The sequence below is a fragment of the Homo sapiens genome, chromosome 17, assembly GCF_000001405.40.
Source record: "Homo sapiens chromosome 17, GRCh38.p14 Primary Assembly".
Taxonomy (NCBI): domain Eukaryota; kingdom Metazoa; phylum Chordata; class Mammalia; order Primates; family Hominidae; genus Homo; species Homo sapiens.
The window spans coordinates 35,983,288-35,995,975 of record NC_000017.11 but is presented as its reverse complement, the minus strand read 5'-3'; the positions used below and the strand labels follow the sequence as shown (position 1 = coordinate 35,995,975).

The 12,688-nt window shown below is 44.4% G+C and overlaps 1 protein-coding gene and 1 long non-coding RNA gene across 4 annotated transcripts in view; both read left to right on the top strand.

The window, feature by feature from the left end:
* The window catches only part of CCL15-CCL14 (CCL15-CCL14 readthrough (NMD candidate)), an 18,383-nt gene extending 6,063 nt beyond the window's left edge, over positions 1 to 12,320 (top strand). The window contains exons 5-8 of one of the 2 annotated variants that reach the window (NR_027921.3): positions 9,272 to 9,405; positions 10,181 to 10,228; positions 11,524 to 11,638; positions 12,088 to 12,320. This is a non-coding gene — a long non-coding RNA (CCL15-CCL14 readthrough (NMD candidate)). The remainder of the gene's footprint in view (positions 1 to 9,271; positions 9,406 to 10,180; positions 10,229 to 11,523; positions 11,639 to 12,087) is intronic. The other variant, NR_027922.3, reaches the window with a different exon arrangement.
* Positions 9,247 to 12,688, top strand: CCL14 (C-C motif chemokine ligand 14). Of its 2 annotated transcripts, NM_032962.5 has the most exons (4): positions 9,247 to 9,405; positions 10,181 to 10,228; positions 11,524 to 11,638; positions 12,088 to 12,688. In NM_032962.5, exons 1-4 carry the CDS (start codon positions 9,327 to 9,329, stop codon positions 12,173 to 12,175), a joined length of 330 nt encoding a protein of 109 aa, NP_116738.1. In that variant the 5' UTR covers positions 9,247 to 9,326; the 3' UTR covers positions 12,176 to 12,688. The 2 variants fall into 2 exon arrangements, with proteins under 2 accessions (NP_116738.1, NP_116739.1); NM_032963.4 differs by lacking the exon at positions 10,181 to 10,228.

Sequence of the window (12,688 nt, the reverse complement as noted above, 5' to 3'; positions counted from 1 at the left end):
GTGGTATTTGGTTTTCTGTTCCTGCATTAATTCAGTTAAGATAATGGCCTCCAACTTTATCCATGTTGCTCCAAAGGACATGATTTCATTCTTTTTATGGCTACATAAGAAGTAGCTCATGGTGTATCTGTACCACATTTTCTTATCCAGTCGACACTGATGGGCGCCTAGGTTGATTCCATGTCTTTGCTATTGTGAATAGTGCTCTGATGAACATACGAGGGCTTGTGTCTTTTTCTGTACAATGATTTTTATTAATATATATCCAGTAATGGGATTGCTGGGTTGAATGGTAGTTCTGTTTTAAGTTATTTGAGAAATCACCAAACTGCTTTTCACAGTGGCTGAACTAATTTACATTCCCACCAACAGTGTATATCTGTTCCCTTTTTCTCTACAGCGTCACCAGCATGTTATTTTTTTGACTTTTTACTAATAGCCATTCTGACTGGTGTGAGACAGTAACTCATTTTGGGTTTGATTTGCATTTCTCTGATGATTAGTGATATTGAGCATTTTTTCATGTGTTTGTTGGCTGCTTATATGTCTTCTTTTGAGGAACGTATGTTCATGTCTTTTGCCTATTTTTTAATGGGGTTGTTTTTGGCTGTTCAACTGTTTAAGGCACTTACAGATTCTGGATATTAGACCTTTGCTGGATGCATAGTTTGCAAATATTTTTTCCCATTCTGTAGGTTTTCTGTTTACTCTGTTGATGAGTTTCTTTTGCTGTACAGAAGCTCTTGAGTTTACTTGAGCACTTGTCAATTTTTGTTTTTATTGCAATTGCTTGTGGGGATTTAGTCATAAATTATTTGCCAAGGCCAATGTCCAGAATGGTGTTTCCTAGGTTTTCTTCTAAGGTTCTTATAGTTTAAGGTCTTATATTTGAATTTTGAATCCATCTTGAGTTATTTTATGTATATGGTGAAAAATAGGGGTCCAGTTTCATTCTTATGCACATGGCTAGCCAGCTATCCCAGCACCATTTATTGAACAGGGAATCCTTACCCCTTTGCTTATTTTTGTTGACTCTGTCAAAGATCAGATGACTGTAGGTGTGCAGCTTTATTTCTGGATTTTCTATTCTGTTCTACTGGTCTATGTATCTGTTTTTGTACCAATACCATGCTGTTTTGTTTACTGTAGCCTTATAGTATACTTTGAAGTCTGGTAATATGATTCCTCTAGCTTTGCTTTTTGTTTAGGATTGATTTGACCATTTGGACTCTTTTTATTGGTTCCATATGAATTTTAGAATAGTTTTTCTAGTTCTATGAAAAATGACATTGGTAGTTTGATAGAAACAGCATTGAATCTGTAGATTGCCTGGACAATACAGCCATTATAATGATATTGATTCTTCCAGTCCATGAGCATGGAATGTTTTTCCATTTGTTCATGTCATCTATGATTTCTTTCAGCAGTGTTTTGTAATTTTCATTGTAGAGATCTTTCACCTCCTTGGTTACATGTATTACTACGTTTGTGTGTGTGTGTGTGTGTGTGTGTGGCTATTGTAAATGAGATTGCATTCTTGATTTGGCACTCAGCTTGAATGCTATTGGTGTATAAAAATGCTACTGGTTTTTGCACATTGATTTTGTGTCCTGAAACTTTACTGAAGTTGTTTATCAGTTCCAGGAGACTTTTGGCAGAGGCTTTAGGACTTTCATATCATTGGTGAGGTTGTCAGCTTAATGTCTGGCAGACAGAGTAAGGGGATAGGGATGGGAGTAGTTTTCTTGTCCTTGACCAGAAGTTATCCAGGGCACTGCCCAATTCTCTCTCTGGTCCACTGTCCCCTCCAAGAGGTTCCCACAGCAAATATCCTTTTTTATTTTGAAAACTGTGCTTGTAGCTTTATCCTGGGGCAAATGCCCTACCTGACTATCCTGAATGGGAACTAGCAAGGTCATAGCTTATTCACTCAATGCAAATGTCTTCTCCCAGTACCCACTGACTCTGATCTTCACATTATCCAGGGTTCTGCTGGGAAAATCCTCTTTTTCTATGATCTTCTCCTTGACCTATATGAGGATACATGTTTTTTCAGCCTTCTTGTGATCTGCCATCAAGCTGACCCATGTTCTTTTTTTGTTCTTTCTTTTTTTTGAGATGGAGTCTTGCTCTGTTGCCCAGGCTGAAGTGTAGTGGCGTGATCTTGGTTCACTGTAACCTCCACCTCCCGGGTTCAAGCAATTCTCCTGCCTCAGCCTCCTGAGTAGCTGGGATTACAGGTGCCTGCCACCATTCCCGGTTAATTTCTGTAGTTTTTATAGAGATGGGGTTTCACCATGTTGGCCAGTCTGGTCTCAAACTCCCGACCTCAAGTGATCTACCTGCCTCGGCCTCCCAAAGTTCTGGGATTACAGGTGTGAGTCACTGCACCTGGCCCCATGTTCTTTATATAAAACAGAAATGTCTCACCTTATGGTAGACCAATGTCATATTTTCTGACTCCTTACTGCTACTATGAGTTCTATTTATTTTTATATTTCTTCTGTCATTTCAACAAGATTTACAGAGATGAAAAAGACAAACACAGATGCTCAGAGTTCTGGCTTACTTTGTTTTGTTTATTGAGACAGGCTGTCACTCTGTCACCCAGTCTGGAGTGCAGTGGCACAATCTTGGCTCATTCACCTTGGCTCAACCTCCTGGGCTCAAGTGATTCTCCCACCTCAGGCCCTTGAGTAGCTGGGACTACAGGCGTGCACCACTCCACACCCAGCTAATTTTGTTTATTTTTTTAGAGACATGGTCTCACTTGTTGCCCAGGCTGGTCTTGAACTCCTGGGCTCAAGTAATCCTCCTGCCTCGGCTTCCCAAAATGTTGAGATTACAGGTGTGAGCCACCACACCTGGCGTCTGGCATACATTTTGATCCAGTTATGACCTTTTATGTCTCTCTCACTGCTCCACTGAATGCTGTTGAATTCAGAAGCTTTGAGTTGAAAGCAGCTCACTGGTACCTAAATATATGACTAGGGGATGGCAATCCGGAAGCTTCTGGATTCTCCATGGAGATTTTGTCTCAGAGCCTTAGAAAAAAATTTAAATGGTTATTCAATTAAAATTGTCCTAGACCTAAGTAGGATTCATGTGGTTTCACTGGGTTCTCTCTGACAGGTCAGGTTTTTAGCTTAGAAGGATGAAATGAGGAGGGAGAGCGTCTGGGCAGTGTGGATGCCAAAGGGCCACTTATGAAGGTGTTGGGTCATGGCAACTCAACAGAAATGAGGGATGAAAACCAAGACTTTCCATTCTTTTTTTTTTTTTTTTTTTAGATGGAGTCTCACTCTGTCACCCAGGCTGGAGTGCAGGGGTGCCATCTTGGCTCACTACAACCTCCACCTCCTGGGTTCAAGTGATTCTCCTGCCTCAGCCTCCTGAGTAGCTGGGATTACAGGGACCCACCACCACGCCCAGCAGATTTTTGTATTTTTAGCAGAGACGGGGTTTTTCCATGTTGGCTGGGCTCGTCTCAAACTCCTGGCCTCAAATGATCTGCCTGCCTCAGCCTCCCAAAGTTCTGGGATTATAGGCGTGAGCCACCCACCAGACCCAGCCCAAGATTTTCCATTCTAACCAAGCATCTAGCCACTCACAGAAGGTCTTTGAGGTCTTGAAGGGGAAAAAAACATGCTATGTGCAGGTTAATTGCATAATACATACTCTGTTCTCGCAGTTCCTCAGAAACAGCATGTTCTTTTTTGCTTCCTTGCTTTGTGTGGTGCCCTCTGCCAGGCATGCCCTCCTCTCAACTCTGCCCAGCAAAACTCAACCCAACCTCAATGGCTTAGATTAAATGCTACCATAAAACCTTCCCCCTTCATCCCAGCCAGAAGGACCCACCTCCATTTCTCTGGAATCTTGAAACATGTATTTATTGCCACTCAAAAAGATTTTTATTGAGTGGCTGCTTTAGGTTATGCATTGTGCTAGGCATTAGGAAAACCATGAAAACCAAACAAAGTAGACTATTGCCCTTCAAGAATATGTCAGTCCAGGGCCGGGCACGGTAGCTCACGCCTGTAATCCCAGCACTTTGGGAGGCCAAGGTGGGCAGATCTCCTGAGGTCAGGAGTTCAAGACCAGCCTGGCCAACATGGTGAAACGCCGTCTGTACTAAAAACACAAAAATTAGCCAGACGTGGTGGTGTGCACCTGTAATCCCAGCTACTCGGGAGGCTGAGGCAGGAAACTTGCTTGAAACTGGAAGGCAGAGGTTGCAGTGAGCCGAGATCATGCCACTGCACTCCAGCCTGGGTGACAGAGTGAGACTCTGTCTCAAAAAAAATAAAAAATAAAAAAGAATATGTCAGTTTATAGAGAAGACTGAAAATAGGAATAAGAATGATGCTTGGGTGCAAAAAGTCATATCTAATTCATTGCTAAGTCTCCACATTTTTATGCAACATCGGAGCAAAAAGAGGAGGACATTTATACTAGAGGCAACCAACCTGGGACTCAAGTATCCCCAGGCCCTAGTTGGACTGGCCAGTGACTGAAGGGACCAACATAAGATTGAACCACAGCATTTAGAAAGCTGTGTGATAGATAGGGCTTCTGAAACTTTAGCATGCATAAAAGCCACCAGGAAGGCTTGTGAAAACACAGATTGTGGGCTCCCACCCCTAGAAATCTGGTTCAGTAGGACAGGGGTAGGGCCAAAGTGTCAGCATGTTTAACAAGTTTCCAGGTAACGCTGATGCTGCAGAATGCAGTGGAAATTTGAAGAGGACTTTGTAACTTCACCATTGTTTGCAGTATTCTGAAAGGCACATATTTCTTTAGTAATCAAAAAATAAAAGAGTTGAAAAATGCGTCTTAATTGTCTTTTCAAGGATGTGTAACAAAATGGGCCAGCTCTTCACTTGTGTTGATATCTGATTTTTTTATGATGAAGCTCATCAAAGCTGTTTAATTATAAAAGAAATATGGAGTTGGAAAAAGTTTTACACATGGTTAAATAGTCTGACGATCAATTTGGAATTTTTAAAAGTAAAAATCTTGAGCTGGGTGCAGTGGCTCATGCCTATAATCCCAGCACTTTGGGAGGCCAAAGTGGGCAGATCCCTTGAGGCCAGGAGTTTGAGACCAGCCTGGCCAACATGGCAAAAACTTCCTCTCTACTAAAAATACAAAAATAAGCCAGGTGTGATGGTGCGCACTTGTAGTCCCAGTTACTTGGAAGGCTGAGGTGGAAGGATCACTTGAGCCCGAGAGGTCAAGGCTGCAGTGAGGCAAGATCGCACCACTGTACTCCAGCCTGGAGTGACAGTGACAGAGTGAGACCCTGTCTCAAAAAAAAAAAAAAAAAAATTGGAAATTGTACAAAATAGCTAGAAAAAAAAGTGCATAAAAGTCATCTTAAAAATCTAAATAGAGGGCTGGGCACAGTGGCTCATGCCTGTAATCCCAGCAGTTTGGGAAGCCAGGAGTTCAAGACCAGCCTGGCCAACAGGGTGAAACCCCGTCTCTACTAAAATACAAAAATTAGCCAGGTGTGGTGGCAGGCGCCTGTAATCCCAGCTACTCGGGAGGCTGAGGCAGAAGAATCACTTGAACGTGGAAGGTGGAGGTTGCGGTGAGCTGAGATCATACCACTGTACTCCAGTCTGGGCAACAAAGCAAAACTCCGTCTCAAAGAAAAAAAAAAAATCTAAACAGAGCTTCACAGAAATCATCAAGACATAAAATAGGAAATAGAAACATTCATATTTTTATTCTTTTTAGAACCAGAGACAAGATTTAAAAGTAATATAACTCATCCCCTCAACTGAGGGCTCAACCAGGGCCAGGGCAGAGAAGATGATGCACATGGTTGAGGCCAGTGGGACCAGAGGCCAGAATACAGCCAGTGTGGCCAGGAGATTTGTTACATACAGGGAACTCAGCAAATAAGTACATACATTGAGGTTAATGGGAGCAGGAGTCCCCATTGTTAGAGGAGGGAGGGAAACATAGAAACAGGAAAGACTGAAATAACTCTGTGGTGTTTACTTGGAATTGGACATAGTGGTATAAACTTTTGTTTTTTCATATAGCTAGAAAGAGGACATAGAAATTGCTAATAATAGGACGAGCGCAGTGGCTCACGCCTGTAATCCCAGCACTTTGGGAGGCCAAGGCGGGTGGATCACCTGAGGTCAGAAGTTCAAGACCAGCCTGGCCAACATGGTGAAACCCCATCTCTAAAAATACAAAAATTACCTGGGCAAGGTGACCTGTACCTGCAGTCCCAGCTACTCCAGAGGGTGAGGCAGGAAGATCACTTGAACCCCGGAGGTAGAGGTTTCAGTGAGCTGAGAATGCACCACCTCACTCCTGGGTGACAGAGTGAGACTCCATCTCAAAAACAAAAACAAAAACAAAAACAAATTGCTAATAATATATGAAATAGATATACTTGAAATAGACATAAATTTAAATACATACTTATACACATATGCTTACATATATTTCCAGGTTCTAGCCACTAAAAGCTCAGATCTAAAAGTGATGCCATTCCCATAGCAATGAACACACCAAGCACTCAGATTTTGGTTTCTCAAAATCATTTTTCAGTAAAAGAAACTGAGACTCATGGAAGAAATGGCTAATTCCAGAGCTGGGCCAAGGAAAGTACAAGATGAGTCTGGAACATCTATTTGTGCCAAAAAGTAAGAAAACAAGATTAAAGAATAAACCCTAAAATTTTCTAGAGAGGGGAAACACCAGATCACCACAAATGAGTTTCAGAAGAAACATATTCTTATATTCCATTGTAGAATTCTATACCCAACAAAAATATCAATCAAGTATGAAGGCTAAATAATGACTTCTTCAGGCAAGCATGAACTCAGAAGGTTTATGTCCTACAGATCCTTCCTGTACTATTCAGTTTTTTAAACCAATATATGTATGTGTTGCTTTGAAAAACATTTTAAATATTTTTAAAATAGGCTCTTCATACTCAACAGGGGGCAACAGGAGGACATTTAAGGTCTCTAATTATGTTGCCATCAAATTTCATTCATCTGGTTGTATTGCAATTCTCCTTTACTTTTTTTAGTCCCTCTTTGAGTTCTGAGACCTCTGGGATCAGGGTCATCTTCAATCCCTCCCTCCAAGCCTAGCCCAGGACTTGGCATATGATACTGTGTCAAAGAAGTGATGTGGTCACAAAACCTATTCCTTTTTCTTCCTAAGCATACAGATGATGTATATTTTCCATCCCTTTGTCATTATGTTGGAGCCAGGTTACTTGATGCTGGCCATGGAATGTGGGTGAAAGTAATTTGTACCATTTTCAGAACTGATCCACAAAAATCTCCCAATCCTCCTCTGCTTCTCCCTTTTTGTATCAAGCTTGGAGGCCTTGTGCTGAAAATGGTGGCATCCAAGGTAGAAAAAGGCCTGGTTCCTGAATGAGTACATGGAGGATCCCAACACACACACCATCATCCCACTACTGACCCACACTGGACTGTAACATGAGCAAGAAATAAACTTTTATTTAATTAGTCTGCTGGATTGTTTATGATAGCAGTTGGCACACACAGACTAATGTAGGTAGGAACTCAATACTTGCTGGAAAAGTACAGGAACTTCCTGTAAGTCTCCTAGAAACAACTTGGCAGGTTGGCTAGTTTCCACAAAAACAAGAAGTAAGCATTATTTCTTTCCAACTCACTTTTCCTATAAACAACTTGTTTCCTGAGATTGTTCCTGATAACAATTATTATCATTTAACTTGAAGGGTTTACATAATGTTGTTATTGATGATAAGAAATATAGAAAATTTTTAATTGATGACTGTCTCCACAACTAACCATGAGATTTCAGCCATTTCCTATAAGATACACATATGTAGACCTGGCTCAATTTGTTTATTCATCCTTCTTTTAAAATGTATATTCATAAAGCACCTGGTATACACTAGGTTCTGCGTGAATGGGCAAAGATAAATAATAGATGTTCTCCATCCTGATGATTCAGATGAGGAGAGGAGATTAAATAACCATCTAACCACATCAGCAAGCAGAATGGGGGATGTACCTCCAAGAACAGCATGGTGAGGGCACTAAGCTGAGAGCCTGCGGAGATGAGATCTGTCCTGCATCCAAATCACTGTGTGCACATGAGAAAGTCACTGGTCCTTTCTGATTCCCAGCTTCCATTCAGTAAATGGCCAGTTTAGACAAATCAAATGGCAGATACATAGCATGCAAGCTGCACTGCAACAGAAACTGCACGTTGGTCACAGCGTATCTTCCCAATGTGCCTGGATATGGCCTCAGAATCATTTCCAACACAGAGCTCCAGTCCACCACTAATCAATGAAACCTACTAGCTATCCCTGAATTAGACATTTTCTAGGGTTCCCACCAAGCTTCTTTGCAGCAAAAGTCAGAGAAACCAGGAGAAGGTCCCAAAGAGATCCACTATCTGATTTCAGAAAGGACTAAGACTAAAGGCTTTATAGAAAACCCATAAGCTTTTACAGAGCTCCGTTGGGAGTCCCATGTTTCTTTATGGCATAATGGGTGAGAACACAGACTTGGAAGCCAAACCACCTGAATTTGAACCCCAGTTCCATTTACCAACTGTCAAAAGCTTAGGCTTTGATTCTGAGCCTGTTTCCTCAACTGCTGTTCTAAAGATTAAATAGGCTAATATTCATAAGGCAACTGGGACAGTGGCTTGTGTGTATAGCAACCATTATATAAGTGAATTATCTACTGAGCACCACAGCACTTCTTCACTCCATGGTGTGGTGACCAGAATGGAGATGAGACAGAGAACTGCAGGTTCTGCTTCGAGTTTAAGTTAGGATTTCCCTTGACCAATGAGACCTGACTTGGAGGAGTCCTGGCCTCATTCCATTACCCCAAACACCCTCTAGTCTCTAGATGAACAGATCCTGAATGTCCAGGCCCCACGTGGCCTGTTCTAAGGCCTGAGATGGAATTGGATACAGGACACATCCAGCCTTGAGATCTTTTGCTAAGTGTGACACAGTGCCCCCAGCCCTGTGCTCATGTTCATGCCTAGGGAAAGGCTTCTATCAAAAGAGTTGAACTTCTTCCCACTGGGGATGGAAGACCATTTCCTCCCTTAAACCTTGGCTCTCCCTGCTTCCTTCAGGCCACCAACAACACATGTGCAGGATATGAAATTGCTGAGGCATCACTGCTTTCCTACTTCCCTTCCAAGTCTCAGCTCCCTTATTTTAAAAAATATTTGGCCTCAATGATCATTTCTCAACAATTCCTCACCGCAGGAGCCTCTGAAGCTCCCACCAGGCCAGCTCTCCTCCCACAACAGCTTCCCACAGCATGAAGATCTCCGTGGCTGCCATTCCCTTCTTCCTCCTCATCACCATCGCCCTAGGGACCAAGACTGAATCCTCCTCACGTGAGTGCAATGCCTTGTCTTCCTTCCAACCTAGAGCCTGCAGGGAAATAAGCAGGAGTGAGGTTGGGGCTCAGGGGAAGACCAGGAGCAGGGACTCAGAAAGGAGGGCTGGTATCTTCTTGAAATTGTGTGTATAGCAACATTATATAAATGAATTATCTACTGAGCACCACAGCACTTCACCCCATGGTGTGGTGAGCAGGATGGAGATGAGACTTAGGACTGTAGGTTCTGCTTAAGAGTTTAAGTTGGGATCTTCCAGCCTTGACCAATGAGACTTGACTTGGGAGACTCCAGGCTTCATTCCACTACCCCAAATGCCCTCTAGTCTCCAAATAAACAGATCCTGAATCTCCAGGCCTCACATGGCCTTGATCTCTTATCATTGCCCCCCAGGACCAGTCCCCCCTTGCCCTCAAGGACATGGAGTGAGACCAGCCTGCCTCTCTACTCCCTCAATTTCTCTCTCTTTGCCGCTAAGCAAAAGAGTGGCCCACCCCATTTGGGGTATATTTCCTCAGGGAGATTAGGAGCAGTGTCTTGAGCCCCTCAAGGGCATTTTTCTATTGGCCTCCTGAGGTTTGGGCCCAGCCTGCTTCCAGCGTCACCTGTGCCCAGTGAGTGCAGCATTGCTTGGGTATGGGCTGGGGGGAAACACGACAGTGTGGGGTCCATCCTAGGCCCCCTTTTCTCAGCTGATTTCTTAGAATAAGCTGCCTTTAGAGATAACCAAAACTATTTATCACTCTTCCATTTTACCTACTCTCCTTTTCAGAAACTGGGGGGAAACCGAAGGTTGTTAAAATACAGCTAAAGTTGGTGGGTATGTGCACAGTTTGACTTGCCCTCTCCGATGTCATTTGTCAGCTCAGAGGAACAAGGTGGGAGAGTATAGGAGCTCTGACTGGGTCTCAGGAAACAGGGGCCCCTTATGCCGTTCTTTGGATCGTGAGGATGCTGCCTGGAATGGAGCTGGAAAACAGGATGAGACCCTTCCACCCAGACATCTGGCCACCCTCAGTGACCTCTGAGGCCATTGTGATGCACATCCATGATTCTATGAAGCAGGGTCACATAACATGCACACACCTGATTTCTCCACTCCATAACCACAACATGTGCCTGTTTGTACAGGGCTCTTGGCCTACAATGTCCTTCCTGCTACCTCTATAATTCAAGCTTGGGGTGGCTGCTGTCACCTTGCTTCTCCTATAAAAGCCATGAAACTTCTCAATCAGAAAATAGATGAAAAAATCACCCAATCCAGTGATTTTTAAAACTTTTTAGACCACAAAACCTTTTCTTCAAGCAATATCTTCCACAGAGGCCCAATATGTAAAACAGAAAAAATGGGTTGAGTAGGGTACAAGACACCACTCTCAAATGCAGCAAGGCCTCCACAATAGTCCCTGAGGCCCCCAGAGCTCCAGGGAGCTCAGTGTAAAAACCACTGATGCAGTCCAAGGGCCTCATTTACAGAGGAGGGAACAGGGGGAAAGTAAAATGGCCACAGTACACAGGAAGCACAGGCAAGGTTAGGTTAGGATTTGGGTGCCCTGACTCTGTGGCCTTTGTCCTTGGGGCTTGCTGTGGGCATCCTGCTCTCTCTGCAGGTTGTCGGTTCAATGGGGACATGGGCAGGGTGGAGCACTAGGAGGGGCTGGGTTTGCATTCCCAAATGGCATGTCTCCAAATCCCTATTGGGATTTCTTCCAAATATTCCTCCTATTTGGAGCACCTTTCCCGAATAAGGCATGAAGGCTGCATGATATTGGCCAAGTCCCTAGCCTTCTCTGCCAGTCGGCCCCCAGAGATGGTGTAAGAAGATCTGAGTGTGCTGCTCTTCAATCCTGGAGTTGAAAGTCATCCACCAGTCTTTCCAAGAGGGGTTGAAGAAAAGGAGGAAGGGTGATTGATGATGAGGGAGGAGAAAAAGAAGAGCCCAGGAGTACCATGGAGAAGGAGAAGAGAAGATGAGGAAAGCCTACTCTCCCCTCCAAGTTCTGAGGGGCTGTCTCCTCCTTCCTTCCCTCCTCCATGCCCTCAGCTTGCAGGAGCAGCCAATGGTATGGCCTTTAACAAGGGGCCCCTCCTCAGCATCTGATGCTCTCTCCTCAGGGGGACCTTACCACCCCTCAGAGTGCTGCTTCACCTACACTACCTACAAGATCCCGCGTCAGCGGATTATGGATTACTATGAGACCAACAGCCAGTGCTCCAAGCCCGGAATTGTGTAGGTGGTACACACACATCACACTGGGGGGAGAGGGAGCCAGCAGGGCCTCCTGGAGGGAAGCAGGGAGTGGTGGTGGAATGGGGACCCCCAGCGTACCTCCCAGGTGTGACTACATGGGGAGAGGCAGCTGAGGGGCAATCTGAGCGCTTTCTGGCTGGAGCCTGCAGGAGCCATGGGGAAACTGACCCCATGGATGGGGAGATGACAGAGAAGGGAGAAGAAGGCAAGAGGGCACTTCCTCAGGGGGACACAGAGACTAGATGGGTCTAGGGGTCCTAGGAACCGAAGAGTATGTCTCAGAGAGGAGACTGGCTCTAAGCTGCCTCTGTGGAAGAAAGGAAAAGCAGTATAGGTCAGGTGGGGAATTTAGGAGGGAGGGAAGATGGGCTGTCTCTTCCGGCCACTGGGCCCCTCGGTTTGTGATCCTTCTCCCTCTTGCTCCACAGCTTCATCACCAAAAGGGGCCATTCCGTCTGTACCAACCCCAGTGACAAGTGGGTCCAGGACTATATCAAGGACATGAAGGAGAACTGAGTGACCCAGAAGGGGTGGCGAAGGCACAGCTCAGAGACATAAAGAGAAGATGCCAAGGCCCCCTCCTCCACCCACCGCTAACTCTCAGCCCCAGTCACCCTCTTGGAGCTTCCCTGCTTTGAATTAAAGACCACTCATGCTCTTCCCTGGCCTCATTCCTTTCTACGGGATTTACTCATTGGCCATGCACTGAGGACACCAGGGTGTGGCACCCTCGGCATCAAGCCTCGCTCTGCAGAAGTTTTGCTGGAGCCTGGTACAAAAAATAGGTCAGGCCTGCAATGCAGGTAGTGAGAAGCAGAAAGTGAGAAAGAAAAGCAGTGTAAAGACCGTCTCCTCCTCAGCAACAACAGTAGCAGACCCCGTTTTCTTAATGCTTTCTATACTCCAAGCACTCTGCTAGGCAGTCTGTATGCATTATCTTATTTAAGCTTCATGACAAGTGTAAAAGCTACAAATCATCATTTGATTTTTTAGGTAACACTTCATAAAGGGCTCTCTATAGCAGTCAAA

Bases quoted from the DNA above. Each gene is read 5' to 3' on its own strand.
- CCL14 (NM_032962.5), top strand. From the start codon at position 9,327: ATGAAGATCTCCGTGGCTGCCATTCCCTTCTTCCTCCTCATCACCATC. The intron at 9,406-10,180 runs GTGAGTGCAATG...TCTCCTTTTCAG, and splicing joins CAAGACTGAATCCTCCTCAC to AAACTGGGGGGAAACCGAAG. The intron at 11,639-12,087 runs GTAGGTGGTACA...CTTGCTCCACAG, and splicing joins TGCTCCAAGCCCGGAATTGT to CTTCATCACCAAAAGGGGCC.